Consider the following 12,456-nt stretch of genomic DNA (forward strand, 5'->3'; position numbering starts at 1 on the left):
GACTTGGCAGCTGAAATCTTACCACATAGCGCTAGCCCGGGAAAAGATCAAAATTCAGAATTCAGAGACGTGCATTGCTTTTGCACCATTTTAAAGTCGAAAAAATCATAAGTTGAACTATTGTAAGACCATCTGTACTCTATATACTTACATCTGTATTTTTGCATTTTTTACAATATACACTGTAAGGTTATTGTTGTCCTCTATCATCCCAGTTTCTTGTAAAGCTGTCAGAACTAGACTGAATTGGGGAAGGCTGCAGCTGGAGCAGAGTGCACAGGAAATACCAGGCATTCAGATTTGGACGTGTTAAATGTCAGGCGCCCATTAGAATCTTAAGTGGAGATGCTGAGCAGGCAGATGGATTGAAGAGTTTGCAGTTTGGAAAGGAGATCCGGGTTGGAGAACCACATTTGAAGACAAGTCCCCTAGGATGTATGGGCATGAGGAGGAGAGTCCCATTAATAAGATAGGGTGGGGCCCAGAGCCAAGTGTGTGGGCACCCAAGCCCTGGATTCCAATGTCTTTAACACAAATCAGTTTCTGCTACGAATCTAAACAACTATAGGGTCCTAACTGATTCTTCCTACACACCGGTATCACTGGCACCTATAAAAAACTCCTTGTGTCTTATTTTTAGCACTGCTCCTTGCTTTTCCTTTGAATGTCCAGCTTGGTCTGGCTGAACTGCTTTGGTGGTCTCTGGGTTTCCCAACTTCGCCTTCCGTTGACGTCCTGTCTGAATCCCCCTTCTGCAAGCTTCATGGCTGCAGAGAAGCCCTGCCAACTCCTGAGTAACTCCGCCCATCCCTCACTCTATTCTTCAAGCTCCAACCCAGGACAACTGCAACATGTGTATAGTCTTTCACACAGTTGCTCATTTAATTCCCAAGAGGCAGATATATTATTAGCATCACTTTTACTATTATCCTGCCCTCTTGACAGATGAGAAAACTGAGTGTTGTGTGGTGGGAAGTGTCTTATCTTCCACTAGAGTCTAGCAAACTACCATAAACTTAGCAACTTGAAACAGCCCATACTGGAGCCGAGTAACGTAGCTCATGCCTGTAATCCTGACAGTTTGGGAGGCCAGGGCAGGAAGATCACTTGAGGCTAGGAGTTCAAGACCAGCCTGAGCAATATAGCAACACCCCATCTCTACAAAAAATTTTAAAAAATTAGCCGGGCATGTGCCTATAGTCCCAGCTACTCTGGAGGCTGAGGCTTGAGCCTAGGAGCTTGAGGCTGCAGTGAGCTATGATTGCCACCGCACTACAGCCTGGGCAACAGGGTAAGAAAAAGAAAATACAACAACAACAGCAAAAACACATTTATTATCTCACAGTTTCTGTGCCTCAGGAATCTGGGTGTGTCTCTGCAGAATCCTCTGCTTCAGGGTCTCTTATGAGGCTGCAGTCCAGGTGTCAGCTAGGGCTGGGGGCTCATCTGGAAGCTCAGCCGGGCAAGGACCTGCCTCTAAGGCATTCCGCAGTTGACAGAATTCAGTTCCATCTGAGCAGTTAGACCAAGGGCCTCAGTTCCTGCCAGCTGTTGGCTGGAGGTCACTGTCAGTTCCTTGCCACATGGGCCTGCTTACTTTATCAATGTGTGTGACCCGAGAAGGCAATAAAGAATCTGCTTGTAAGGGAGGCTACAATCTCTTGAAACCTAATCTTAGAAGTGACACCCTGTCACCTTTGGTTAGAAGCAAGTTGCTAGGCCAGCCCACACTTGGGAGGCACCCCCACTACACAGGGTGTGAACACAAGGAGCAGGTCACCAGCCATCCCAGTGTCAACCCACACAGGACATAACACGTGGGATTTGGGCACAGGCATGTCGACCTCCAATGCTTGGCTGCTTCCTTCTATGCAATCCTGGATCCTCCATGATTGTGCTCTGCTGTGGCCTGAACAAAAAGGGAACGATGATAGTTCTTTCTTCATGTGACTCTACTAAGTACTCTTTTAGCCAGGGAAGTTGAGTAATCTGGTTTTAACAATAGAAAAGTGGGACTTGCAAATTAGCATGGGTTTCCAAAACGGAATGCAATTTAAAGCTGAGAAGCTGAAGTGATAAATGGAGGAACAGTGTTCTGTCTATAAAAGCAGCTGATAAAAATGCCTGTCACCTTTCAAACCAGTCCTGCACCCCAGAGACCACAGGTAAATCATCTCTCTCTACCCAGACCTGCAAACTGTCCATGTATGTAACACTGCCACTGCAGGGAAGGAGGCGGGCCAGAGGAGCAGGAGAGAGCCAGCCACCACCTCACCAGCCTTCTGTGTGAGTTGCCTTCTCCCAAGTCCTTTGAGTGGAGACAGCCCAGTCCCTGATCAACCAAGTGCCCTGCAGTGACAGCTGGGAAAGATGGCAGGTGTCAGCCTTCTCGCCCCATCTCTGCCACCACTGCTCCCTGAAAACTTCTCGCAGGGATGATTCCAGTGTTGTGGCTTCTCGGCAACCCAGCTTCAGTCTCGGGCACCCCTCTTCTCCCAAGCCTGTTTCTCAGCCTGCCACTGAGTAGACTCTCTTTTCAGTGCTCCTCAGAAGAGTTACTCCAGTTCCCAGGAGCACCCCGATTCATCTCCTCAACTGGGACTTTCTATCTCTAGCTCGACCCCAAACTGTATATTGATTTAATTAATATTTATTGAAAACTTACTAAAGGCCATATATATCCTTCTAAAGCACTGAAAAACATATTCCTTATACATGGGTATGTATGTACATAAATACCTATAACATAGAGGCTAACAGCATGGTTTTAAAATTAGATCTCGTCATTTAGTAACAGTGAACTTTACTTTGGCAGGTTACTCTAACTTTCTGAGTCCCAGTTTCCTTTTCTGTAATGTGGACATCATTTTTCCTACCTCAAAGGATCAGTGTGAGAAGAAAGTGAAATACTAATTTGTGTGTGGCACTTAGCACTGTGCCTAAAACATAATAAATACTTAATAGCACTTCTGTGTAATCAGCACAGGACAGACCATTCCCGAAGATTCCCGCTCCCACCAAATCATAGGCTCTTAGAAGGCTAAAACCACAGCTGTCTTGTTCACCCTTATATCCCCAGTACCTGGCATAATGCCTGGCACATGGAAAGTGCTTAATAAACGTTTCTGCAATGAGCTAATAAGTGAATAAGTAATACTGCAGTTAATGACAAAAATATTTATCTGGTGCAACTTTCCAAGGAGCTTAAAGATCTCTCAATATTATTTAATTTGGTTTTAAAGTTCACCTTGGGGCCAGGCATAATGGCTCATGCCTCTAATCCCAGCACTTTGGGAGGCAGAGGTGGGAGGATCGCTTGAGTCCAGGAGTTCAAGATCAGACTGGGCCACAAAGCAAGTCTCCGTCTCTACCAAAGAAATATGAAAAATTATCCAGACATGGCAGTTGTACCTGCAGTCCTAGCTAGCCAGGAGGCTGAGGTGGGGGGAAATCGCTTGAGCCCAGGAGTTCAAGGATGCAGTGAGCTATGATCACATGACTGCTCCAGCCTGGGCAACAGAGCAGGACTCTAACTCTAAAAAAAAAAAAAAAAAAAAAAAAAAAACCCCACAAAAAAACAAAGTTCACCTAGGATGGCAAGTAAAAGGTTTGACCATTTACTTAGGCCTTTGACCAAGGTGTAAAGGACTAAACTTGACTTGCCTAAAACCATGCAATAAATCTGGTTATAGGTTGGCATGGCTACAGGGTTGGCATTTGGATTCTTGTACTCATAGCTCCCTACTCCTACATATCTAGTGTATTGAGACCATCTTCCTAGCCTGACTGACTTGCCCATAGAGAAAAGCCCCTCTGAACTCCAAAATCTGAGGACTTTCTAATTCTTTGTGACCATGACTCACTTTGTAAGGAACCAATAAGTTGTCCCAGGCCTTGGTGCTGAGCAAATGGTGGAGCAGAAGCCAGCTGCCTGCTGTCCATTAGTCCAAAAGTGGGATCTGACATCTCTGCAGAGTCCGTCCAGCACCCTAGGGTTGATTTCCCTGGGGGTGTTGTTAGCCACTCAGGATGACCAGCAGCCATTCCTGGAGAATGAGAACAAATCTCAGAATCATGTGATCTGTCTCTAGTCCCAGCTCCACTAGCTGTGTGACCTTGGACAAGTTACTTAACTTCTTTTCACTTTCATTTTCTCATCTGAAAAGAAGGGGAAGTAACACCTTGTAAGGACTGAATAATATGATGTCTGACAAAAGGCACCGTGCCCAGCACAATTCCCAGAGACTGTTTGTGGAGTTTGGATCTGAATGCAGGGCTGGCGTTAATCATCCTTTGTGGGGAGCAGCCCAGGAAAATCTTCTGGTCCCCTGTTTCCCTCTCATAGTCCAGTCCAATTCCCATTGGCACTTTGGGGAAGGCAGTGATTTTCAAGATTTATCTCAGAGCAGAACTCTTTTGTCAAGCAAACTTAACATGGAATGGAACGGAACGGAAGTATATAAAACTGATAAAGCTGAGCTCACTTGTCAAAGCAGGGCTGGGGACAACCTAGATCTCTCTTTGTGATTTGCCCCTCCTCATTTTGCAGTGGCCTCCAATATAACTCCATGAGCCCCCAGGCTTCCCAGAACTTGGATGGAACACAACTCAACTAAAGTAGTATTCTAGATGGTCTCTGTCAAATTAGTAACAATATCAACACATTATTATAACATAAATGCTAGCTATAATTTATTATTATTATTATTACTACAGCTAACATTTACTACAGTGGTTCTCAAGCTTTAGCTTACATCAGAATCACCTGGAAACCTGATTAAAACACAGATTAATGGACCTCACCCCCAGAGTTTCTGATTCAAAAGCTAGCGTGGAGCCGAGAATCTGCATTTCTAACACATAACTAACTAGTGATGGTGATGCTGGAGTGTGGGAAGACACTCTGAGAACTGATGATTTACTGTGAGCTAAGTGCTAAGCATTCTACGTGGAGACTGCTTTTAATGCTCATAACCACACGATGAGATAGGTATTGAACTATTTACATCCTTTTACAGATGAGGAAACTAAAAGTCTAAGTAACTTGCTCCAGGTCTTAGTTACTAAGTGGCAGATTCCAACCCAGGTCTGACTCCAAAGTCCTCACTCCTAACCATGATGTTAAAATGTTAAAATGGAAGCCTATTATAAGGAATAGGTCCACTTATTTGCATTCATTAACCAGCATAAATAAGTTCATGTAATGAACTGGCTCTGAGAGAAAGGGTTCTAAGGTAGTTGAGGTTTGATGAAGAATAGAACAACCAAACAAATCAGGAAGGTTTGAGTAACAGGCCATTGCTTATCATAGTCTGCAAGGTATCTCAAGAATTTGACCAAGAGAGACAGTGCTTGTGACAAAAGATAGAAAAGCTGGTCAAAAAGACAAATTTCACTTTATTCATTATTCATGTAGTCACTAGTTTATAAAATGCTTATTGAATATGTACTATAAGGTGGGGGCTGTTTGGTGCTGAAGATATGAGGGAGAGTAAAAGTAGACAGGGTTCATGACCCTCAAAGCTTACAGACCCCTCAAAGCAACAATATTAAGCTTAGTAACAATTTTGCCCAAGTCGTGAAATCTTGACATTCAGCTTTGGCCACATGGTTCTGTCAGGTCCCAGCTCTTTTGGTTCTGACTCTTCTGGATCTTATTATCTTGTATTTTTCACTCTATCTGTTGACCTAATGTATTTCCATTCTGATGTGTGCAGTTCAGCACAATCCTGACATCATGAACTTAAAAGCCTGCCTTGTTAATAGATTTTATTTTTTGAATGTTGACTATGGACAGGATTTGGCTTGCGTGTGATAATTGGTAACCATATGACTAATAGGAGGAGGTTTTATAATTGGTCTGCTCTTGTATTCTTACTCATCACTGCTAATTACCCAGTGTGTCTGATATGCCAGATGGATATTTAATAAATGGTCTAATGATTGGATCTGAAATAACATATTCAGGTTCAAGAGAACCATGGTCCTGGGAGGGAGGTCACACAGTTCTCCATTCTGCCATCCAGCACCGTTGCTTTTAGATGAAGTTTGATGAGGCTGAATTAGATCCTGACAATTGTATGGCATTTTTGTTTAATTCCAAGGAAATTTTCTTTCATGGGCTTACCATGATTTCTATGGAAACTCATTTTGGGGAAAATCCTCAGTCTGACTTGTTCCAAGTTGGATTTACTTACTCTGGCAAAGTTATGACCTATTAAAAAGTGCTAATGGAGACAACTGAGAAGCTAAGTTTCAGGGAACCGTGTTGTCTTAGTCTGCTTTGTGTTACTGTAAGAGAATACTTGAGACTGGATGATTTACACAGAGAGCTGGCATCTGCTCAGCTGCTGGTGAGGGCTTTCATGCTGCGTCACAACATGGCGGAAGGTCAAAGGGGAAGCGGAAATGCGCCAAGGGGCAAAATCCAAGGGGTGTCCTGGCTTGATACCAATGCACTCTTGTAGGAACGAATCCCTTTCCTGATCCAGCCTTCCCAGAATGAGATTTCACTGTCTACTGCAGTTACAGCACCAAGGTATTTGTAAGGCATCTGCCCCCATGACCCAAACACCTCCTGCTAGGCCTCACCTCCCAACACTACCCCACTGGGAATCAAATGTCAACATCACTTTTGGTGAGGACAAACTATATCCAAACCATAGCACATGTGAAGGAAAAAGGAAAGAAAAAGGGAGGGAAGAATAGAAAGACTGTAGTAAGAAATCCATGATCGGTGCGAAACATGGAGTTTTCACAACGAGCTAAAGAAACACTATAGGCTGTCTCCTAGAGACACACATTTCTGCCATCTAATCTGCAGATTTGTTTACATTAAAAAACAAGACTAAATTTAAGCTTCAAAGTAAAAGCTCAACATTTAGGGAGACATACGGGCTGTTTGCTTTGAATGAGGGGCAGGAGCCAGCCTTCTCCGAATTGGCCCAGAGAAAATTTTTGAAACACAGAAATGTAATAATAGCTGGCACATGGGATGTGTGGAATGAAATCAGCACTTTCAAAAAGAAAAGAATGAAGAGAATAATAATAATAAGCCAATGCATTCAGTTCTTTTGGTTAATGTCAAATTTTACTCACCAATCTTAACAGATCTACTAGTGATTACTCTTATTTGGGTATTTCCACTGGAAAATTATCCAGTTTGTGAAAAGTCTCAGTCATTTGTTATGAAGAACACAGCTTTCATTTTGTCCCAAAATTAGATGGGACTGAATTACCCCCACCAAGATGATTCAAGCTGCCTACTCGTGCCCAGCTCTGCCCTTGCTTTTGGCAGGGTACAGCATGGCATTTAGCCTTGGCGTTATCCCTGATTGCCTGGCCAGGCCTACATCAGAGTTAGTGGGGGAGGAGGAGGAGAAGAAGGAGGAGTTGGTATAGCTGACTGTTGAAGAGCTTAGGATTTGGAGCCAGAAAGACCTGGGTTCAAAGTTCAAATTTGCCTCTTACTATGTGAGCTTCGAGTTCTAAATAAATCTTAATGATAACATGAGCTTATTACAAAGATTTGATGAGATAATATACACTAAGGGCTTAGTTCAGTGCGTGGCACATGACATGTAATGGTACCTGTTGTTGCTGGGAGTCTTGATCTTAGTATGGGTGGTTTAAAAGAAGAAAGTAAGTGGGTCAGTCTTAGTTTCTAAATCCATTGTACAGTGCCATCCAATAGAACATTCTCGAATAATAGAAATTTCTATATCTGTGCTACCCAATACAGTTTAGTGTCTTGCTGCATATAGCTATTGAGCTCTTCAGATTTGGCTAGAGGAAGTGACTTTTCACATTTAACTGATTTAAATTTCAATAGCCATGTGTGATCTGTGACTACCATGTTAGGCAGCACAGCTTTATGAGATTAATATTGTAGAATCATGTGACAAAAAGCAGCATTGTGAGAGAACAGTTACGTGAAAATATAAGGAAGCATAGAGCTCATGGGGTTGAGCCAGTCAGAATCGCATTTTTAATTAGTCATGGACACTACTCTTATTATGTCCTTTATTGTACAAACAAAAAAATAGAAAACATTTCCAAACCTTAAATGTCAAACAGTCCAGTGTCAAGATGTATTAGTTTGTTCTCACACTGCTATAAAGAGACACCTGAGCTTGGGTAATTTATAAAGAAAAAAGGTTTAACTGGCTCATGGTTCTATAAGCTGTATAGGAAGCATAGCTGCTTCTGCTTCTGGGGAGGCCTCAGGAAACTTACAATCATAGTGGAAGGTGAAGGGGAAGCAGGCACGTCTTACATATTGGAGCAGGAGCAAGAGAGAGAGAGGGGATGTGCTACCCACTTCTAAACAACCAGATCCCATGAGAACTGACCGTCAGGAGGACAGTACCAAGGGGAGGACGGTGTTAAATCACGAAAAACCACCCCCATGACCCGATCACCTCCCATCAGGCCCCTCCTCCAACATTGGGGATTGCAATTCAGCAGGAGATTTGGGTGGGGACACAGATCCAAACCATAACACAAGAGCTATTTGACAAATTGTAATCCCACCAAAATGAAAGAGATTCAACTTTGATTTAGAATCTACAATAGCAAAATTTTCACCATTTAGTAAACAGCCATGGTGAACACATGATGCAGTATCAAGTCTAACCACTGAGCCCTGTCAAACACAGGAGAGCTTCCTAAGTGTCCTCCTTAAAGTACATGTTGCACCTGTACAGGTGAGAGCCATTTTTTGGACAAGATAATAGAGGAATCCATGTTAATGTAACTCACTGCTGAGTTGGCAATGAGCTCGCTCATTGGCAGCCAAATGAAAAAGCCCATATGGGAAGAAATTAATAAAGCTGGCATGTTTTCTGTTCCTATCAGCGTAACCCAAGATACAGGGATAAATAGTGTTTGTTCAGTAATGACTCAAATGTGTCACAGGCATTTTGAAAGAATGTCTATGGTAAAGTTTAAATATTAGGACAATTATAGTCCAATGTGTCCCACGTCCAAGATGCATAAAATAGTGTTTCAAAAAGGACTGGGTTTACATAGTACTTCATATTTTACATAAAGACTCTGCATAGTTGAAATAAAAGTGGCCTGACACTGGGATTCAAGAGCCCTGGTTTTGAGACCTGTTTTGCTGGTTACCAGTTGGTAGTTCTCAACAAGCTATTAACGCTCTCTGTGCCTGTTTCCACACATTTGAAAATGGGGTTGATACTATCTCATAAGATTCTTATAAAGGTTAAATGGAAAACTAAAAAGCACTTTGCAAATGAGAAGCATTATCATCACCATCATCATTATCTTCATCATCATGATGTTATTTTTACTTTCTCAACAATCTCCTGAGGGAGCTAGATAGAGCAAGTAGACCATTCACAAATGAGGAGACTGAAGGTGAGAGGATTTAAGTAACTTCCCAAGGTCACACAACTAGGAAGACTAGCATTCTCATCACAGCTATGAAAAACTGGGTGAAGTTTAGCTGAGGAACATAAAGGTTTTCTATTTCTTTTGGATCTCATCCTTTAGATTACAGAATTATAAAAATGAAAAAGTCAGAACTGTGTTTAGATACAAGCAAGAGAGACCCCCACCAAAGGTCTTGTGTGTTAGTTACAACAAGGGCCAACCAACTGGACCAAATCTGGCCTGCTTTGGTTAATAAAGTTCTATTAAAACGCCGTCACCCTCATTCATTTACAAGCTGTCTTTGGCTGCTTTTGCACTACAACAGCAGAACTGAATGGTTGCAATAGAAACCCTATGGACCACAATGCTAAAAACATGTACAATCTGGCCCTTTACAGAAAAAGTTTGCCAACTCCTGCTTTAGAAGGCCCCAGTATCGCAAACCACACAAAAATAAATGTGTTAAAGAACACATGGCTGTTCTATTTGGTGATTGGCACTAGAAGAGTGTGACTCATGTCCTTGAATAGCCACTGTTGTGACCAGTACTCCTCAGGCCTCAGGCCCCAGATCACATCTGCCTTGTGTCCTTGAGACCAAAGAGACTACCTCTGGGTGCCAGGAAGGTTTGGGACTTCTGCCATTGTTCACTTGGGCCAGCAAGGCCTTGGGTCTGGAGAATTTGAGCGGCATAAGTACTCAGAAAACAGAAATGACAAATCAAGTAATTTGTCAAACCCTTCCCCCAAACAGCATAAACTACAGTAGATTCTTGCATAACAAAGTATCAGTTCCCAGTGGAGGCAGGCATCCTTGCCCTCTTTGAGTTTCAATTCCTGGTTTTGGATCTGGGGGTGCTCACAGATTGGCAAAGTACACAGATGTGCGTGGCAACTGGGGACCATTTTGCAATATTAAGTAACTCATGTTACTTGAAAAATTTTTTTATGGAGGTCATTGTATAACATGCATGAATTGTGATGCTTTTTTCTTTATTGGCAACTAGATGGACGTTGAACAGTAGAATTGTGAAGGGTGTTATTTTCCTAAAATGATTTCATTTAAATAATTTTTATTTAAATATTTGACATTGTCCATTTCAGGCTGCTATAACAGAATACCTTAGAATGTTTAATTTATAAACAATAGAAGTTTATTGCTCATAGTTCTGGAGACTGGGAAGTCCAAGGCCAAGATACCAGCTGACTCAGTGTCTGCTGAGGGCCTGTTTCTTCACAGATGGTGCCTTCTATGGGTTCTAACATGGTAGAAGGGCAAAAGGGGCTCAGAAGCTTCCCACACCTCTTTTATAAGGTCACAAATCTCACTGTGAGAGCCCTCATGACCTAATCACCTCCCAAAGTCCCTACCTTCTAATAATATGAGCTTGGTGATTAGATTTCAACACATAAATTTTGGTAGGATACAAACATTCAGATCATAGCAGATATTCATGTATTATAATTTGTATTTTGCCTCTTAATTTTAAAGATAAATTTTGAATTTTTAGAAGAAAAATACGCATTTGAAAGCACTAAAGTTTTAGATTGGGGGACTTTTAAATATTTATTTTAATTTAATTTATTTGATGAAAATACATTCAAATTGTGTATGCTTTAAATACCAATATGTCTTATTTTTATAATCCTTTGAGCATTACGGTCAATGAAATAAAATCTAGGCTTCTCATTTTTATTGGTAGTCATGCTTTTTTAGTTTTGGCAATAACAAAAACAATATGCTTATCTTTAATTATTTAAAAAAATTAGAGAACAGATGAGAAAGTGACTGAAGAGAATTATTATTATGGTCCTAATAGGGACTGTAGTTGGAATTGGGTTTATTCCATTCTACTCCAGTGTATTAGCCTGTTCTCATGCTGCTAATAAAGATATACCTGAGATTGGGTAATTTATAAAGGAAAAAGGTTTAATTGGCTCACAGGTCAGTATCACTGGGGAAGCCTCAGGAAACTTACAATCATGGTAGAAGGGGAAACAAATCCGTCCTTCTTCACATGGTGGCAGGAAGGAGAAGTGCAGAGCAAAGTGGAGAAAAGCCCTTTATTAAATCATCAGCTCTCATGAGAACTCACTCTATCATGAGAACAGCATGGGGGAAACCACCCCCATAATCTAATCACCTCCCACGAGGTTCCTCCCCCAGCACATGAAAATTACAACTCGGATTACAATAGAAGATGAGATTTGGGTGGGGACATACAGCCTGACCATATCATTCTGCCCCTTGCCCCTACCAAATCTCATCTTTCTCACATTTCAAAGCAAAATTTTGTCTTCCCAACAGTCCCCCAAAGTCTTAACTCATTCCGACATTAATCCAAAAGCCCAAGTCCAAAGTCTCATCTGAGACAAGGAAAGTCCCTTCTGCCTAGGAGCCTGTAAAATCAAAAGCCAGTTAGTTACTTCCTGGATACAATGGGGGTAAATATATTCATCCCAAACAAAACTGTGAGCTTGTTGGTTCCTGTAGCTACAAAGTCAGACACCCATCCATCTAGGAGGAGTTACAGCTAGACCCAGGAACTCAAGCATCTGTCTACCCACCCAATGGGAGAAATTGGCCATAACAAAGGGGCTACATGCCCCATGCAAGTCTGAAATCCAATAGGGTAGTCATTAAATCTTAAAGTTCCACAGTGATCTCCTTTGACTCCATGTCTCACATCCAGGTCACACTGAAACAAGAGATAGGCTCCCATGGCCTTGGGCAGCTCTGCCGCTGTGGCTTTGCAGGGTACAACACCCTTCCCTGTTGCTTTCATGGGCTGATGTTGAGTGTTTGCAGCCTTTCCAGGTGCACAGGGCAAGCTATTGGTGGATCTACCATTCTGGGGTCTGGAGGACAGTGGCTCTCTTCTCACAGCTCCACTAAGCAGTGCCTCAGTGGGGACTGTGTCGGGGCTCCCACCCCACATTTCTCTTCTGCACTGCCCTAGCAGAGGTTCTCCATGAGGGCTCTGCCCCTGCAGCAAACTTCTGCCTAGACATCCAGACATTTCCATACTCCTCTGAAATCTAGGTGGAGGGTCCCAAACTT

The 12,456-nt window shown here is 42.3% G+C and overlaps 1 long non-coding RNA gene across 1 annotated transcript, besides 3 other annotated features; it reads right to left on the minus strand.

Annotated features, from left to right (window-relative positions):
• Window positions 1-1,315: 1,315 nt before the first annotated feature.
• Window positions 1,316-10,065, minus strand: LOC105375217 (uncharacterized). Its single transcript, XR_927147.4, has 2 exons — window positions 3,864-10,065; window positions 1,316-1,909 (listed from the first exon to the last, which is right to left on the minus strand). It is a non-coding gene; the product is annotated as an uncharacterized LOC105375217 (long non-coding RNA).
• Window positions 1,458-1,517: an enhancer, noted in NCBI's record as "active region_25806". NCBI's record gives its function as "activates an Ori minimal core promoter by ATAC-STARR-seq in GM12878 lymphoblastoid cells {active_cell/tissue: GM12878}" and the evidence as "EXISTENCE:reporter gene assay evidence [ECO:0000049][PMID:35858748]".
• Window positions 1,608-1,667: a silencer, noted in NCBI's record as "silent region_18059". NCBI's record gives its function as "represses an Ori minimal core promoter by ATAC-STARR-seq in GM12878 lymphoblastoid cells {active_cell/tissue: GM12878}" and the evidence as "EXISTENCE:reporter gene assay evidence [ECO:0000049][PMID:35858748]".
• Window positions 4,101-4,150: an enhancer, noted in NCBI's record as "active region_25807". NCBI's record gives its function as "activates an Ori minimal core promoter by ATAC-STARR-seq in GM12878 lymphoblastoid cells {active_cell/tissue: GM12878}" and the evidence as "EXISTENCE:reporter gene assay evidence [ECO:0000049][PMID:35858748]".
• Window positions 10,066-12,456: the final 2,391 nt, after the last annotated feature.

This window comes from Homo sapiens, chromosome 7, assembly GCF_000001405.40.
Source record: "Homo sapiens chromosome 7, GRCh38.p14 Primary Assembly".
Lineage (NCBI taxonomy): Eukaryota > Metazoa > Chordata > Mammalia > Primates > Hominidae > Homo > Homo sapiens.